At 34.2% G+C, this 17682-nt stretch overlaps 1 protein-coding gene across 10 annotated transcripts in view; it reads left to right on the top strand.

Annotated features, from left to right (window-relative positions):
* Positions 1-17682, top strand: part of AGBL4 (AGBL carboxypeptidase 4) — a 1501444-nt gene that overhangs the window by 313147 nt on the left and 1170615 nt on the right. For 5 of the 10 annotated variants that reach the window (XM_017002595.3, NM_001323575.2, NM_032785.4 and 2 more), the window contains exon 3: positions 13371-13495. The exons of 1 other annotated variant lie outside the window; for it this stretch is intronic. In XM_017002595.3, coding sequence (XP_016858084.1) covers positions 13371-13495 — 125 coding nt within the window. Of the gene's footprint in view, positions 1-13370; positions 13532-17682 lie in introns of all 10 variants that reach the window. 4 more of the 10 variants (NM_001323573.2, NM_001323574.2, XM_011542308.3 and 1 more) reach the window with 1 other exon arrangement.

Here is a 17682-nt window from a genome sequence, read left to right as displayed (position 1 = left end):
TCTTTGTTTTTCATTTCTTAATACTGCCTTTCAGAGAACTAAAGAGGTAAAGTGATTTTTGGTATCTGTTTATGAAGTTCAGTTTATTAGTTTTTTAAAATATAGTTTATGCTTTTTATGTTCTTTCTAAGAAATCTTTGCCTACTCAAAGGTCACAAAGAATTTTCTATTATATATATTTTTTAAAAATTTTAAATTATTTATTCATTTTTGTTTTATTATTATACTTTAAATTCTGGGATACATGTGCAGAACGTGCAGGTTTATTACATAGGTATATATGGGCCATGGTGGTTTGCTGCACCCATCAACCTGTCATCTACATTAGGTATTTCTCCTAATGCTATCCCTCCCCTTGCCCCACAACCTCCAACAGGCCCAGTGTGTAATGTTCCCTTCCCTGTACCCATATGGTCTCATTTTTAAACTCCCACTTATGAGTGAAAACTTGCGGTGTTTGGTTTTCTGTTCCTGTGTTAGTTTGCTGAGAATAATGGTTTCCAGCTTCATACATGTCCCTTCAAAGGACATGAACTCATCCTTTTTATGGCTGCATAGTATTCCATGGTGTATATGTGCCACATTTTCTTTATCCAGTCTACCATTGATGGGCATTTGGGTTGGTTCCAAGTCTTTGCTATTGTGAACAGTGCCTCAATAAACATATGTGTGCATGTGTCTTTATAGTAGAATTATTTATAATCCTTTTGGTATATATCCAGTAATGGGATTACTGGGTCAAATGGTATTTCTGGTTCCAGATCCTTGAGGAATTGCCACACTGTCTTCCACAATGGTTGAACTAATTTACACTCCCACCAACAGTGTAAAGCGTTCCTATTTCTCCACATCCTCTCCAGCATCTGTTATTTCCTGACTTTTTAATGATTGCCATTCTAACTGGCATGAGATGGTATCTATTTTGGTTTTGATATTCATTGTCTAATGCCCATTGATGATGAGCTTTTTTTCATATGTTTGTTTGCTGCATAAATGTCTTCTTTTGAGAAGTATCTGTTCATATCCTTCGGCCACTTTTTGATGGGGTTCTTTGTTTTTTTCTTGTAAATTTGTTTAAGTTCCTTGTAGATTCTGGATATTAGCTTTTTGTCAGATGGATAGATTGCAAACATTTTCTCCCATTTTATTCACTCTGATGGTAGTTTCTTTTGCCGTACAGAAGCTCTTTGGTTTAATTAGATCCCATTTATCAATTTTGGCTTTTGTTGCCATTGCTTTTGGTGTTTGCCATTGCTTTTGTTGCCATTGCTTTTGGTGTTTTAGTCATGAAGTCTTTGCCCATGTCTATGTCCTGAATGGTATTTCCTAGATTCTCTGGCTTGAAATTCTCGCTGCCAACAGAGCAATCTGAAGTTGTCCTGGGACACTTGAGCTTGGTGGGGAAAGGGCCGTCCACCATGCTGAGGCTTGTGTAGGTGGTTTTTCCCTCACAGTATAAACACAGCCTCCGGGAAGTTCAGACTGGGCAGAGCCCACCGCAGTGCTACAAAGCTGCTGTAGCCAGACTGCCTCTCTAGATTCCTCCTCTCTGGGCAGGGCATCTCTGAAAGAAAGGCAGCAGCCCCAGTCGGGGGCTTATAGATAAAACTCCCATCTTTCTGGGACAGAGGTCCTGGAGGAAGGGGCAGCTATGGCCACAGCTTCAGCAGATATAAACCTTCCTGCCTGCCAGCTCTGAAGAGAGCAGCAGATCTCCCAGCACAGCACTTGAGCTCTGCTAAGAGACAGAGTGCCTCCTCATTTGGGTCCCTGACCACCGTGCCTCCTGCATGAGAGACACCTCACAGCAGGGGTCGATAGACACCTCATACAGTAGAGCTCTGGCTGGCATTTGGCAGGTGTCGCTCTGGGAGAGGAAGGTTCTAGAGGAAGGAGCAGGCAGCAATCTTTGCTGTTCTGCAGGCTCCTCTGGTGATACCCAGGCAAACAGCGTCTAGAGTGGACCTCCAGTATACTCAAGCAGAGCTTCAGAATAGGGGCCTGACTGTTAAAAGGAAAACTACAAACAGAGAGCAATAGCATCAACATCAGCATAAAGGATGCCCATGCAAAAATCCCATCCAAAGGTCACCAACATGAAAGAGTAAATGTAGATAAATCCATGAAGATGAGGAAAAACCAGTGCAAAAAGGCTGAAAATTCAAAAAACTGAATGTCTCCTCTCCTCCAAAGGATCACAACTCCTCGCCAGCAAGGGAACAAAACTGGATGGAGAATGAGTTTGATGAATTGACAGAAGTAGGCTTCAGAAGGTAGGTAATAACAAACTCTTCTGAGCTAAAGGAGCATGTTCTAACCAATGCAAGGAAGTTAAGAACCTTGATAAAAGGTTACAGGAGCTGCTAACTAGAATAACCAGTTTAGAGAAGAACATAAATGAACTGATGGAGATGAAAAACACAGGACGAGAACTGTGTGAAGCTTATACAAATATCAATAGCCAAATTGATCAAGCAGAAGAAAGTATATCAGATATTGAAGCTCAACTTAATGAAATAAAATGTGAAGACAAGATTAGAGTAAAAAGAATGAAAAGGAATGAATAAAGCCTTCAAGAAATATGGGACTGTGTGAAACAACCAAACTTACATTTGATTGGTGTACCTGAAAATGAGGGGGAGAATGGAACCAAGTTGGAAAACACTCTTCAGGATATTATCCAGGAGAACGTCCCCAACCTAGTGAAACAGGTCAACATTCAAATTCTGGAAATACAGAGAACACCACAAAGATACTTCTCAAGAAGAGCAACCCCAAGACACATAATCGTCAGATTCATCAAGGTTGAAATGAAGGAAAAAATGTTAAGGGCAGCCAGAAAGAAAGATTAGGTTACCTACACAAGGAAGCCCATCAGACTAACAGGGGATGTCTCTGCAGAAACCCTACAAGCCAGAAGATAGTGGGGGCCAATACTCAACATTCTTAAAGAAAAGAATTTTCAACTCAGAATTTCATATTGGCCAAACTAAGCTTTATAAGTGAAGGAGAAATAAAATCCTTTATGGACAATCAAATGCTGAGGAATTTTGTCACCACCAGGCCTGCCATACAAGAGCTCCTGAAGGAAGCACTAAATATGGGAAGGAAAAACCGGTACCTGCCACTGGAAAACCATACCAAAATGTAGAGACCATCGACACTATGAAGAAACGGCATCCACCAGTAGTCAAAATAACCAGCTAGGATCATAATGACAAGATCAAAATCACATATTACAATACTAACCTCAAATGTAAATGGGCTAAATGCCCCAGTTAAAAGACACAGATTGGCAAATTAGATAAAGGGTCAAGATCCATCTTTGTGTTATATTCATGAGACCCAACTCATGTGCAAAGACACACATAGGCTCAAAATAAAGGGATTTAGGAATATGTACCAACCAAATGATAAGCAAAAAAAAAAAAAAAAAAAAAGCAGGGGTTGCAATCCTAGTCTCTGATAAAACAGACTTTAAGTCAACAAAGATAAAAAAGATAAAGAAATGCATTACATAAGGGTAAAGGGATCAACGCAACAAGGGAGTTAACTATCCTAAATATATATGCATCCAATACAGTAGCACCCAATTCTTAAAGCAAGTTCTTAGAGACCTACAAAGAGACAGACTCCCACACAGTAATAGTGGGAGACTTTAACACCCCACTGTCAATATTAGACAGATCAACGAGACAGAAAATTAATAAGGATATTCAAGACTTGAACTCAGCTGTGGACCAAGCAGACCTAATAGACATGTACAGAACTCTCCACCCCAAATCAACAGAATATACATTCTTCTCAGCACCACATAACAGTTATTCTAGAATTGCCCACTTAATTGGAAGTAAAACACTCCTCAGCAAATGCAAAAGAACAGAAATCATAAGAAACAGTCTTTCAGACCACAGTGCAATCAAATTAGAGTTCAAGATTAAGATACTCACTCAAAACCATACAACTACATGGAAACTGAACAACCTGCTCCTGAGTGACTACTGGGTAAATAAAATTAGGGCAGAAATAAAGAAGTTCTTTGAAACCAATGAGAACAAAGAGACAACGTACCAGCATCTCTGGGACACAGCTAAAGCAGTGTTTAGAGGGAAATTTATAGCACTAAATGCCCTCATGAGAAAGTAGGAAAGATCTGAAATCGACACCCTAACATCACAATGAAAAGAACTAGAGAAGCAAGAGGAAAGAAATTCAAAAGCTAGCATAAGACAAGAAATAACTAATATCAGGGCAGAACTGAAGGAGATAGAGATGAAAAACCCTTCAAAAAATCAATGAATGTAGTAGCTGGTTTTTTGAAAAGATTAACAAAATAGATAGACCGCTGGCCAGACTAATAAAGAAGAAAAGAGAGAAGAATACAAAAAACACAATAAAAAATGATAAAGGGGATATCACCACTGACCCCACAGAAATACAAACTACCATCAGAGAATAATTTAAACACCTCTATGCAGATAAACTAGAAAATCTAGAAGAAATGGATGAATTCCTGGACACAACACCCTCCCAAGACTAAACCAGGAAGAAGTCAGATCCCTGAATTAGACCAATAAAATGTTCTGAAGTTGAGGCAGTAATTAAGAGCCTACCAACCAACAAAAGTCCAGGACTAGACAGATTCACAGCCGAATTCCACCAGAAGTACAAAGAGGAACTGGTACCATTCCTTCTAAAACTATTTCAAACAATAGAAAAACAGGGACTCCTCTGCAATTCATTTTATGAGTCCAGCCTCATCTTGATACCAAAACCTGGCAGACACGACAAAAAAACAAAAAGAAAATTTCAGGCCAATATCCCTGATTAACATAGATGGGAAAATCCTCAATAAAATACTGGCAAACTGAATCCAGCAGCACATTGAAAAGCCTATCTGCCACGATCAAGTTGGCTTCATCCCTGGGATACAAGGCTGGTTCAACATACGCAAATCAATGAACATAATCCATCACATAAACAGAACCAATGACAAAAACCACATGATTATATCAATAGATGCAAAAGGCCTTCGATAAAATTCAACACCCTTTCATGGTAAAAAAAAAACACTCAATAAACTAGGTAATGATGGAATGTATCTGAAAATAATAAGAGCAATTTATGACAAACCCACAGCCAATATCATACTGAATGACCAAAAGCTGGAAACGTTATCTTTGAAAACTGGCACAATACAAGGATGCCTTCTCTCACCACTCCTGTTCAACATAGTATTGAAAGTTCTGGCTAGGGCTATCAGGCAAGAGAAAGAAATAAAAAGGGTATTCAAATAGGAAGAGAGGAAGTCAAATTGTCTCTGTTTGCAGATGACATGGCTGTATATTTAGAAAATCCCCTCATCTGGCTAGGGCTATCAGGCAAGAGAAAGAAATAAAGCGTATTCAAATAGGAAGAGAGGAAGTCAAATTGTCTCTGTTTGCAGATGACATGGCTGTATATTTAGAAAATCCCCTCATCTCAGCTCAAAATATTCTTAACCTGATAACTTCAGCAAAGTCACAGGATACAAAATCAATGTGCAAAACTCACAGGCATTCCTACACACCAACAACAGACAAACAGAAAGCCAAATCATGAGTTAACTACTATTCACAGTTGTTAAAAAGAGAATAAAATACCTAGGAATACAACTTACAAGGGATGTGAAGGACCTCTTTAAGTAGAACTACAAACCACTGCTCAAGGAAATAAGAGAGGACACAAACGAGTGGAAAAACATTCCATGCTCATAGATAGGAAGAATCAATATTGTGAAAATGGCCATACTGCCCAAAGTAATTTATAGATACAGTGCTATTCCCATCAAGTTACCATTGACATTCTTCACAGAATTAGAAAACTACTTTAAATTTCTTATGGAACCAAGAAAGATCCTGTATATTCAAAACAATCCTAAGCAAAAGAACAAAGCTGGAGGCATCACAGTACCTGACTTCAAATTATGCTACAAAGCTACAGTAACCCCAACAGCATGGTACTGGTACCAACACAGATATATAGACCAATGGAACAGAACAGAGGCCTCAGAAATAACACCACACATCTACAACCATCTGATCTTTGACAAACCTGACAAAAACAAGCAATGGGGAAAGGATTCCCTATTTAATAAATGGTGTTGGGAAAACTGGCTAGCCATATGCAGAAAACTGAAACTGTACCCCTTTTTTACACCTTATACAAAAATTAGCTCAAGATGTATTAAAAATTTAAAGGTAAGACCTAGAACAATAAAAACCCTAGAAGAAAACCTAGGCAGTATCATTCTTTTATATTTTCTTCTACACATGTTATAATTTTGGGTTTTATATTTGTGTCTATGATCCATTTTGAGGTAATTTTTGTATAAGATTTTCAGTAAGGGTTAATTATTTATATTGAACATTACTCATTAAAATACTTACCTCTTTATTAAATTTCCTTGTCATCTTTGTTAAAGTAAATTGCTCATAAATATGTGGGCCTATTTCTGTACTCTCCATTCTGTTTCATACATGTAAAGGTCTATCATTTTGAAATACCAAACTGTCTTGATTACTAAATTTATAACAGTTTTCACTAAAATTGCTTTTATGATATTATATTACATTTTTGCGTACAATGTAGAATGAGATAATCAATTTCTACAAAAAGGCTTCCAGAATTTGATTGTGGTTCCTCTGAATCTGTATACATACATTGGGGAGAAATACCATTTTAAGGTATTCTTCAAATTCTCTCGATAATATTTTGTAGTTTTTAGTGCAAAAGACTTGGATATCTTTGGTTAGATTTATTTCTAGGTATCTTGTGGTTTTTTGTTTCAACCATGGATGGGATCCTTAAAATTTTATTTTTAATTTTTTGCTGGTAGTGCCATTGCTTGTTGCTACTGCAGTTATTTTCATATATTCACTTCGTGACTTTGCTAAATTTATTTATTGGCTCAAGTAGTTATGTTGTCAATTTTCTATTCTTTACATAGAAAAATCTATGTAAATAACACTCTCATCTGTAAGTAAGGAAAGTTCTAGTATTATTTCCTCTTTCCTAATCTTTATGTCTTTTATTTGTTTTTCTTGCTGTATTGCAATAGCTTGGGTCTTTATAAAAATGTTGAATAGAAGGACACCCTACATGCTTGATCTCGGATAAATAATTAAATATTGTACCATTAAGTATGATATTAGTGCTACATTTTTGTTTTCATTTCATGCCCTTTGTCAGTATCAGGAAGTTTCCTACTAGTTGAAGTTTGATGGAAGTGTTTTTTTTTTTTAATCATGAATGCGTGTGGAATTTGTCAAATGTTTTTTCAGCATCTACTGAAATAATCTTAAGGTTATTCTCCTTTATTTTGTCCATATGGTGAATTATGTTGCTTGCTTTTTAAGTGTTAAAAGAAACTTGCCTTCTTGGATTAAATCTATTGGCATTTCTTTTGTTAACTTATACTAAGTATTATTTTGATGCTATTGTAAATGGAATTATTTTATTTTAAGAATGTTCATTGCTGGCATATAGAGATACAATTGATTTTGTATATGGATTTTATTCTGAAACTTTACTGAAATTGTTTTTTAGCTCAAATAGTTTTTTTTTTTTGGTATGTGGATTCCTTAGGTTTTTCTGCATAAAAATTATGTCATCTGCAAATAGAAATAATTTTATTTCTTCCTTTTCAATATGAATGCTTTTTTTTCTGGCATACTTGTCCTTCCTGGAATCTCCACAACAATTTTGAATAGAAATGGCAAAAGCAAAGATGCTTATCTTCTCCCTGATCTTAGAGGGATAATGTTCAGTCTTTCACCATTAAGTGGGCTGTTAGCTGTGTGTTTTTCAAATATACTCTTTATGAGTTTGAGGAAGGTCCCTTGTGTTCATCTTGAGTATTCTTATCATGAAATGTGTAAGATTTTGTCAGATTTTTTTTATGCATCTATTAGATGATCCTTGTGTTTTTGGTCTTTATTTTAATAATGTGTTATATTGCATTAGTTGATTTTCGTGTGTTGTACCAACTTTGAATTTCTGGGATAAATCTCACCTGTCATGGTGTATAATCATTTTTTATGTTGCTAGATTCAGTTTGTTAGTATTTCTTTGAAGATTTTTGAGTTTATATTTATAGGGATGTTGTTCTGTATTTTTTATTTGTTATTGTTTTTGTTTTTGTCATCATGATCTCTCCATCTGATTTTAGGATCCAGGTAATCCTGGTTTCATAGAATGAGTTTGAAAGTGTTATCTTTTCTTCAATTTTTTTTGGCAAGAGTTTGTGAAGAATTGGTGTTATTTTATTTTATTTTTTTGGGACGGAGCCTCGCTCTATCACTAGGCTGGAGTGCAGTGGCACGATCTTGGCTCACTGCAACCTCTGCCTCCCGGGATCAAGTGATTCTCCTTCCTCAGCCTCCCGAGTAGCTGGGACTACAGGCATGCACCACTATGCCCAGCTAATTTTTGTATTTTTAGTAGAGACGAGTTTTCACCATGTTGGCCAGGATGGTCTCCATCTCTTGACCTTGTAATCTGCCTGCCTTGGCCTCCCAAAGTGCTGGGATTACAGGTGTGAGCCACCACACCCAGTCAAGAATTGGTGTTAATTTTTTAACAAGTTTTAATTTTACAGAATTTATCTGTGAAAACATTTGGACATAGAATTTTCCTGGTGGGAAGTTTTTTGATTATTAATTTAATACTACTTGTTTTAGATCTATTCAGATATCCATATTTATTTTTAGTCAACTTTGTTTGTTGTCTTTCCAGACAACATACTTTATCTATCTATTTAATGTTTTTATATGTTCTTGGTGGAATTACCCTTTTTCATCATGAAATACCGCTATTCATTTCTAGTAATGTTACTTGATTTATAGTCTATGTTGTCTGATATAAGTATAGTTACATTTGCTTCTTATTGATAGTGCTTTTCTGTTAAAACGACAAATGCCATTTCATTTAGGTTATTTAATTTTTTGACGTACAGTTGGTTATAGTATGTCCTCTGTTTAATTTCTGATTTTACAAATTAGAGTCCTTTCTCTTTTTTGTTAGCCAATCAATTTAAAGTTGTCACTTTTGTTGATCACTTCAAAGGAAGAATTTTGTGTTTATTGGCTTTCAGTAATGTTTTCTATTCTCTATGTCATTTATTTCTACTCTTGTCTTTATTATTATCTTTATTCTGCTTTCTTTGGGTTTATTTTGCTCTTTTTTCCTTTTCCCCCAAGTATTATTTTTTCTTTAAATCACTTTTTTTGAGGTATGATTGACACACAAAAAGCTGCACATATTTGTTGTATACAATTTGATGAGTTTGGAGATAACTATATAACTATACATCTGTGAAACCATTACCACAGGCTTATCCATAAATATATCCATTACCTCCAAAAGTTTCCTTCTGCTTTCTTTATATATTATTACTATTTTTGTGATAAAAATACTTAACATAAGATCTACTCTCTTAGCAAATCTTAATGTGTATACATTACATTTTTTTTTTTTGAGACAGAGTCTCACTCTGTTACCCAGGCTGGAGTGCAGTGGCGCCATCTTGGCTTACTACATCCTCCACCTCCTAGGTGCAAGTGATTCTGCTGCCTAAGCCTCCCATGTACCTGGGATTACAGGCACCACCATGAATGGTTATTAAACCAGTATTTATCTGGGGATATTAGAGCTAAAACCACCTATTTTACCATCCTGATGAATTCAATCTCTTTTTATTATTTTGATATTAATAATATGTGGTTTATTTCTTCTTGGTGAGCTTTGTTAAGAGTTTTTTAATATTAAAAGTCTATTTCAAAGTATCAAACTTTCACATTTAAAATTTTTAGGGTACATTCAGATAATTTTTTTTAACATTTTCTGTTCTTTTTGCTTGCCTCTGCTTTTTGTTTTGAAAATACCATCTTTTTTTACCTCTTTAAAACAGAAGCATGGATCATTGATCTTTATCCACATGTGTAAATCATTGAAAAATTAATCATCTGTAACTATATATGTATATGTATGTGCATGTATGGTTATAAATTTACATCTTAGAGTGGATTTAGCTATATTTTACACATTTTGATTCTCACATATTGAACACAATTTAGTTTAAAATATTATTACTTAAATGAGAGAACACATGCAGTATGATATCACTCCTTTGAAATTAGTTGGGACTTGCTTTATGGACGAGCATATGATCAGTTTTGAGAAGAACATCATGTACATTTGAAAAGAATGTATATTATTTAGTTCTATAAATGTAATGTGTTTCATAATTAAAACTAGGTATTTTTAAAATCATGTTTTCAAATTATCTCAATCCTTTGCTGAATATTTCTTTTGGTATTTTTTACAGTAAGGGATATTGGTGTGTTAAATTTCTCATTTTGATTCTAGATTAATCTATGTTTTAATTTTGTCAAATTTTACTTACATACTTTAAAGATCTATCTGTCTATCTATCTATCTATCTATCTATCTATCTATCTATCTATCTATTTAATGTTTTTATATGTTCTTGGTGGAATTACCCTTTTTCAAAATGAAATACCCCTATTCATTTCTAGTAATGTTACTTGATTTATAGTCTATGTTGTCTGATATAAGTATAGTTACATTTGCTTTCTTATTAATAGTGCTTTTCTGTTAAAACTTTTTGTCATTTTATTTTCAATCTTTTTGTGCTCCTAAAAGGAAAGCTTGCATTTATAAGCAACATATAGTTGATATTATATCCAAAATAAAATTTTGTCTTGTATTTAAAAAATTATTTTATTTTATATATATAAGATGTAGAACATTATGTTTTGATATACATAATGCAATGACTACCAAAGTCAAGCAAATTAGCATATTCATTATCTCATATAGTTAACTTTTTTGGTATATGTATGCATGGTAAAAGCAACTACAATCTACTTTCTAAGCACATTTCCAGTATGATATATAATATTATTAACTATAATCCTCATGCTGTACATGATCTCTAGGTTTAGTCATCATACATAACTGTGATTTTCTACTCTTTGACCTACATATCTCATTTTGTCCACCACCATCTGCCCCTGGTAACCACCATTTTATTTTCTGTTTCTGTGTGTTTGGCTTTTTTTCTTTCAGATTCTACATATAAGTCAAGTCATGCAATATTTTTCTTTTTGCGTCTGGCTTATTTAACTTAGCATAATGTACTCCAGGTTCATCCAGTTTGTCTTAATTATAATTTTAATCCATTTACATATAACACATTTAGTGATATATTTGGGTATAAAATCTACAGCTTATGTTCTGTGTTATATTTGTCCTACCTATGTATTTTAGATTGTGTTTGTTTTCTTTCCTTGTGTTTCATTTAATGAAAGAGAACCAGGTGATATGGAGGCATTATTAACTTATTCTGAAATAGTTATTTCCAGAAGGCCATAAACTGGCACTTAATTGTGTATAAGGAAAGTATTTTTTATGTACACACACACACATACAGAGAATGCTCATCACAAGAATGATGAAGAAGGTCAACAGAGTAGTTGCAGAAGGCCAAAGACCAGATGTTCACTATTCTTTCAGACTATAAGCTTAGTGAGCACAAAGAAAGTATATGTTTGATACTATCTAGTTTCTTTTATAACACAAAGCATAGTGCCTTTTGAATGAATTACTGATTAAATGGCTTAATAAATGAATTGGTTGTAGCTATGGTAGATTCTGAAAGAAAAACACAATGAAATCAGAAGTGTTTAATTTATGGTCTCACCCTGGTGCTTTAAAACATGAACTTAAGCAAGCACTAAACATTTCTGGGTTTCAATTTACCTATCACTGGGTCATGGTGAGGATTTAATAATATAAAAGATGTCAAATCATTTTGAAACTACAAATTTGTAGACACATATGGTGGATTATTATTGGACACTATATGCCACAGTAATTTTAAGATATTGTTTATCAAAACCCATTTATACTTTTTTAGTATGAAGAACAAAATGAAAATCTGCATTTCTTTGAATATTGAAGTGAATATTAATATTTAATTTTTATATCATGAACTTTTAGAGGGAAAAAAGTACCTTTTCAACTTCTTGTTATTTTAAGAATAGTAATTTTATTAAGCCTTACCACTTAAAATGTGCTTTCAATTTATGTTATTTGTTTATTATTCCTACCAGCTCTGTTAGGTAGACAGCTATATTGTCTAGTGGTTAGAGCCAGGTTCCTTGAATTCAAATCCCAAATGTGACTTTTACTTGTTTACTTGCTGTATAACTTTGGGTAAGTTCTCTGTACCTTGGTTTTCTCAGATGTAAAATGGGGATAGTAATGGTCTCTACCTCATAGGAGTTGTTGAGAGGATCAAATAGTTTAGTTCATTTAGCATTTAGGACAGTATGTGGCCTGTAGAAATGCTCAGAAAACTTTAATTTTCTATCAAAACTTAATATTCATATACATTGTGTACGTTAATTTCAACTAGTGTTCGTAGTAGTTGGCATAGAAATAAATTTTCATGTTTCTATTAATATGATTCTAACTTTATAGTTGAGGAAACAGATGTTGGAAGAGGTTAAGTGAATTGTCTAAAGTTGCTTAGTTAGTTCCAGAACTAAAACTAAACTAGTTCTTCTGACTCCAAATTCAGTACCATTGTGTAACAAATATCTTGCCTCTCTAACAATTCACTGCTCATTAGAATATCAGTGAGAAAAAGGAGAGACAATATGGAAAATGGAGATAACACCTAAGTTTACACATTTTTTATATAACTGTTAGTTCTGTTGTTGGAGAAAATGGAAATTAGGTTTCATGATTGTGTTATTCTTATGTAGCAATTACTTCTAATTTTTGTTTAAAACCTTACTGTACATATTCTTTAACATATTCTGATAGAAGTTTAGGATATAAGAAGCTCAGTACAAACCATATATGCCTGTTGTAAAAATTAAACAAGATCCAATGTATTACAGGTAGTTTGTATACAATGAAGCTTAATACAAAATACATAAGGTATTATCATCCTCACTTTTCTATGTAAGAAACCAAAGTTTGCCATTCTTCTCTTGGTTTATAGGGGCTTACCACAGGCTTTATATAATATCCTGGTCTGTCAAAGATACTTGTAGCATAAAAGGATCTGGGTCAGAAGGGCCAGGCAGAGAAGCTTGCACCACAGCCTGGCCTAGATGAAAGCTTTTCTTACTCTGGGCTGCATTCAGACTTGGCAGCCCTTTGGATTGTGAACACTGAACCTTCAAGTACTGAATGTTGACAAATGCCACTATCAGAGAGCATAATATTTAAATGTGTGTACCATTGAGCTGCATGAACTTCTATTAAAATCCAATTCTCTTAATTTTTATTACCAGGTAACCTGGGCCGGGTGGACCAGGTCTCTGAGTTTGAGTATGATCTGTTCATTAGGCCGGACACCTGTAATCCACGCTTCCGAGTCTGGTTCAACTTTACTGTTGAAAATGTGAAAGAATCACAGGTGAGGGAAATAGTGGATACCTTCAGAGTGGTTTTGGTAAGAATAATATGCTTTTGTCTTCTTTTAGAAATATCAAAATAATGACTATATTAAGAATATATTCTTGTTTATCCACAGCAATGATACAGTTTTGGTTCAAGAGATGCAGAGAAATAGATACAATATGTTGACTTTTGTTATCTGATGGTTATTAAATAATACAAATATTTCATCTGAGAATAAAGTGTTCCTTACTGATTGAAGCATTAGCATGATATGTTAGGATTCCTTGAGGGACACTATAAGGAAACACTGGAAGAGACTTGCTATTATGTTTACAAAGGGTATTGTTCTCTATTGTCTCTTCTTTATAAAGATCTGTGAGAAACATTTCTCACAAGTCTCAGTTTCAAAAGAGAAGCTTTTCTTCTGTACAACAGAGTGTTTATATCTTTAAGACAATATGATTCTTGTAACTGATCCTATTTTCCCTTTGCTTTGGCTGCTGGGAAACTCGGAACCATATTTACAGCCCTCTCTAGTGATTCTGGAAAATATTTTTGCTTGTGCTTCTGTGTACTGACTTTGCTTTTACAAGTTGAGTATAGCTTATCTTAAACGCGTGGGACCAGAAGTGTTTCAGTTTTTTTTTCAGATTTTGAAATATTTGCATATATAATACATACTGAAATATGTTGGGGAGGGTACCCAAGTCTGAACATGAAATTCATTTATATTTCATATACATCTTGTATACATAGCCTGGAAGTAATTTTATACAATACTTTGAATAATTTTGTCCATGAAAAACTATTATTTTCCATTTGTGGCATCATTTCAGTGCTCAAAAAGTTTTGGATTTTGGAGCATTTTAGATTTTCGATTTCCAGATGAGGGATTCTCAACTTGTATTTTGAACGTATTAATCTGCTTTTAACCATAATTTCTTCAGCTACATTTTTTTAATAGTGCACGTTTTTATAATACTTTCGAATCCTATTTTTCATGAGAGACAGTATTGATGAAAATAAAGGGAACTAAAAACGTATGCTTGAATAAACATTAATAAAACTCAAATCGTAAGATATCAGTTACTATTCCGTTATATTGAGACAACTGATCATGGAAGACTCTGTACAAGCTTTGTACACATAGTGAGATTATGATTGTTTTAAGCAGATGAAAGCATAGTCCTGCAATCCAACATCTACCTTCTTACTTTATGTTGTCTTTTGCTAGTATATTTGGGAAAAAGTAGGGAGTTTAGCTTCTCCTAGGGAGTTTAGCTTCTCCTGAGTCAATCTATTCTGCTTGCTCTATCCCTTGATTGCTTGCTTCTCATCATTTTATCTCAACTGCAACTTGACTTGTGTGTCAGACAGTGGCCAGTGTCTTGAATTTAGGGACTCTGAGCCTTCTTCTATACAATATTATTCCTGGCATGCTAGCTTCAGCAAAAAGGGGGTGCAAATACAGCCACTTTGCTTTGATACTTTAATTTTGTACAACACCATGGACACAAGACTGAGTGTATGCAATATTTACTAAAGTTTAGGGGCCAACAGGAAGGAATCAAATCTAGGGAAGAGTCCTGAACATTATTTGCTAAATCTGACTTGTCTCAGAATTTTAGGACAAGGGAGAAAAAGTTACACCACACACAGAGAGCCTCTTAAGGACAAACTTTAGTTCCTAGCTTTGCTTTTTGGTTTTATTTACTCTCCTATGGCAGAGTTCCCTTTTCAGTTTTTCACAGTAACAGTAGGCATTCTCTTTCCCCTGATCTTAGGAAAACCCTCTCTTTACCTACAGGGGTTCACCTGATTCTAGGATTGTCCTACTTGTTCCACTAAGACAATCAATAATCCTTAAAGTATATTTTCCAAAGTCTGTGTTACTGAATCTAGAGAATATAATCCACGATAGGCGGCTTTAGTCACATGTACTAGACTGAGTCTTTCACTTCAAATTTGGGACCCCTATGAGATTTTCTTCATTACCTCTTTCATTCTTTTGTTAATGTTCCTGTCTCATATCAGCAACTTATGGTTGTCACAAACACATACCTCTGGAAAACAAACAATAATTCTGAAGCAGTGTAGTCAATTCATATGAAGGAAGGAAAACATTTTCTTAGAAGCAGTATAATCTGCCATGATTTCTAAATTCATAAAGGGAATTATTCTTTTCCTCTTTTTTTTTCATAGCACATCCCTCAGCTTGCCTGCTGGATCCAGGAACCCACTAACTCCTAAGAAGTGGGGCCAATTACTTTTCAAACAAGAGAATCATCTATCCTCATTGTGTTCTTTGCTAAATAGAGATTTAGCAGAAGCTCTGAAATTATACTGTTTCTTTAACTTTGGGTCACATTAAATTCCTGGCCCAGTTTTTCTTTCACTTAAGTGTCTATAAAGATTATCTTTATACAGCTTATACAAGGAGGGGTAGAGGGGTGAGATGATAAGAGAGTTAGGAAAAATGTGTTCCTTCAGTTAAACTACTTGAGATAGCCTTTTGGACAAGTTTCTCACACAATGTTCTTTGCTCTTCTAGTTTGTTTACGAGGATGTTCTTTTTGTTGTTCAAAATGTCTCTGCCAGAGTGTTATAACTTACTTATTACATGTCGAAGCTATACAGCCTCTTTTGCAATCTTATCTATCAATTAACTGTGCAAGTAACATGAATGTTTTTTAAAGGGTTACTCTTACAAGAGAGTTGGGTCTGTTTTGTGGATGCATATTTATTAAAGTTGAAGGGACCAATATTTTCCCTGTCTCTGGGTTCTGTCTGCATATAGAGTGCTATCCTATCCTTGTTCCAATTAGAAATCATGAACATGTTTATCTGGTTTCCTGGAGCCTGATGCTTTTATCAGCCTCTTTCTGTGGGCCATTGCCTCATCAACTGTAATCACATTATGGAAATCTGTCGCAAGAAGGCATAAAGATCTGCAGGAAAGATACAATATATATCTCTAGCTCACAGGATGTTTGTTTTCATGGTAGTCTACGTTAAAGAAAATAGTTTTACTATGAAGTTTGACTTGTGAGGTCTGTTTTTATAGCATCTCTTTCTATAATCTTTTTTTCATCTCTCAAATTTCCGTTAAAATGAGACCTGCATAAGTGTAATCTAGTCAAGAACGTTATTTAGGTCTTGGTACTACTAGCAGGCAAAAAAACATGTATGTATTAGTCATTGCAGGCTGACTCCATTAAATAAATTTTAAAAATTGCAGCATCAAATATATTGTATAAACAGGTCTAGCTTTTGCGTTGTATTTCTTGATGTTTCTAGGAAATAATAAAAGCTCGCAGCATATGGTGTTGTATCCCAGGACTGATATATTAACCCGTAAAAGTAGTTGCTCAATAGTGCATTTGCAAGAATCAATGAAAACTAAATGTCCAGATTCCTTTATGGAAAGGTGATTTTCTCTCTAAAAAACTGATATTAAATATTCTTAGTGGAAATGTATTAATGCAGCTGAGAGCACTTGTGTGATATGAAAGCAGATCTTCTTATTTAAATATGCTAAAAGTTCAGCCAATAAGAGAAAATAAAATGATATGCTTGGATTGATTAAGCTCTATTTCTTTTTTGTATTTTTTTATCTTTTTGAAGTTATTTTTCCCATTTTTATTGTAAAAATAGTCAATGTGCAATATAGTAAATTTGGGAAATATAATTATTTGAAGCAGAGAAAAAGCACCCCCCCACACACACAAAAATTACAATTTTACTAACTGGAAGCAAATACTGTTAATTTTTTTGGCATATTTATTTCTAAACTTATTTATTTTCTATCGTGGAGCATAATTAAATTTGTACTGTATATACATTTTCATGTTTTGCTTCTAAAGAACCTAAATATTATCACAGACAATTTTCTGTTATCAAAAGTTTGATAAATATGGCTATAAAATATTAATAGCTCTTTATTCTTGGTCATAAAGATTATTTTCCATTTGTTGTTGTTATAAGTAACAATGTAGTGAACATCTTGATGCAGGAAATGTTACCCAAATTTTATTTTGCTTCCTTAGGATAAATTCCTATGAGAGGAAATGATAGGCAAAGGGATATGAACATTTTAAAGACTCTTTACACATATATCTAAATTGATGCCAGAAAGTTTATACTATTTTACTGTCCTATCAGCAGTGAATAAGATTCCTTTATTTGAATTTCTTGCTTTGTTTT

The sequence above is a fragment of the Homo sapiens genome, chromosome 1 (assembly GCF_000001405.40).
Source record: "Homo sapiens chromosome 1, GRCh38.p14 Primary Assembly".
NCBI classification, from domain to species: domain Eukaryota; kingdom Metazoa; phylum Chordata; class Mammalia; order Primates; family Hominidae; genus Homo; species Homo sapiens.
The sequence above is the reverse complement of the archived record's forward strand: the minus strand, read 5'-3'. Positions and strand labels throughout refer to the sequence as shown.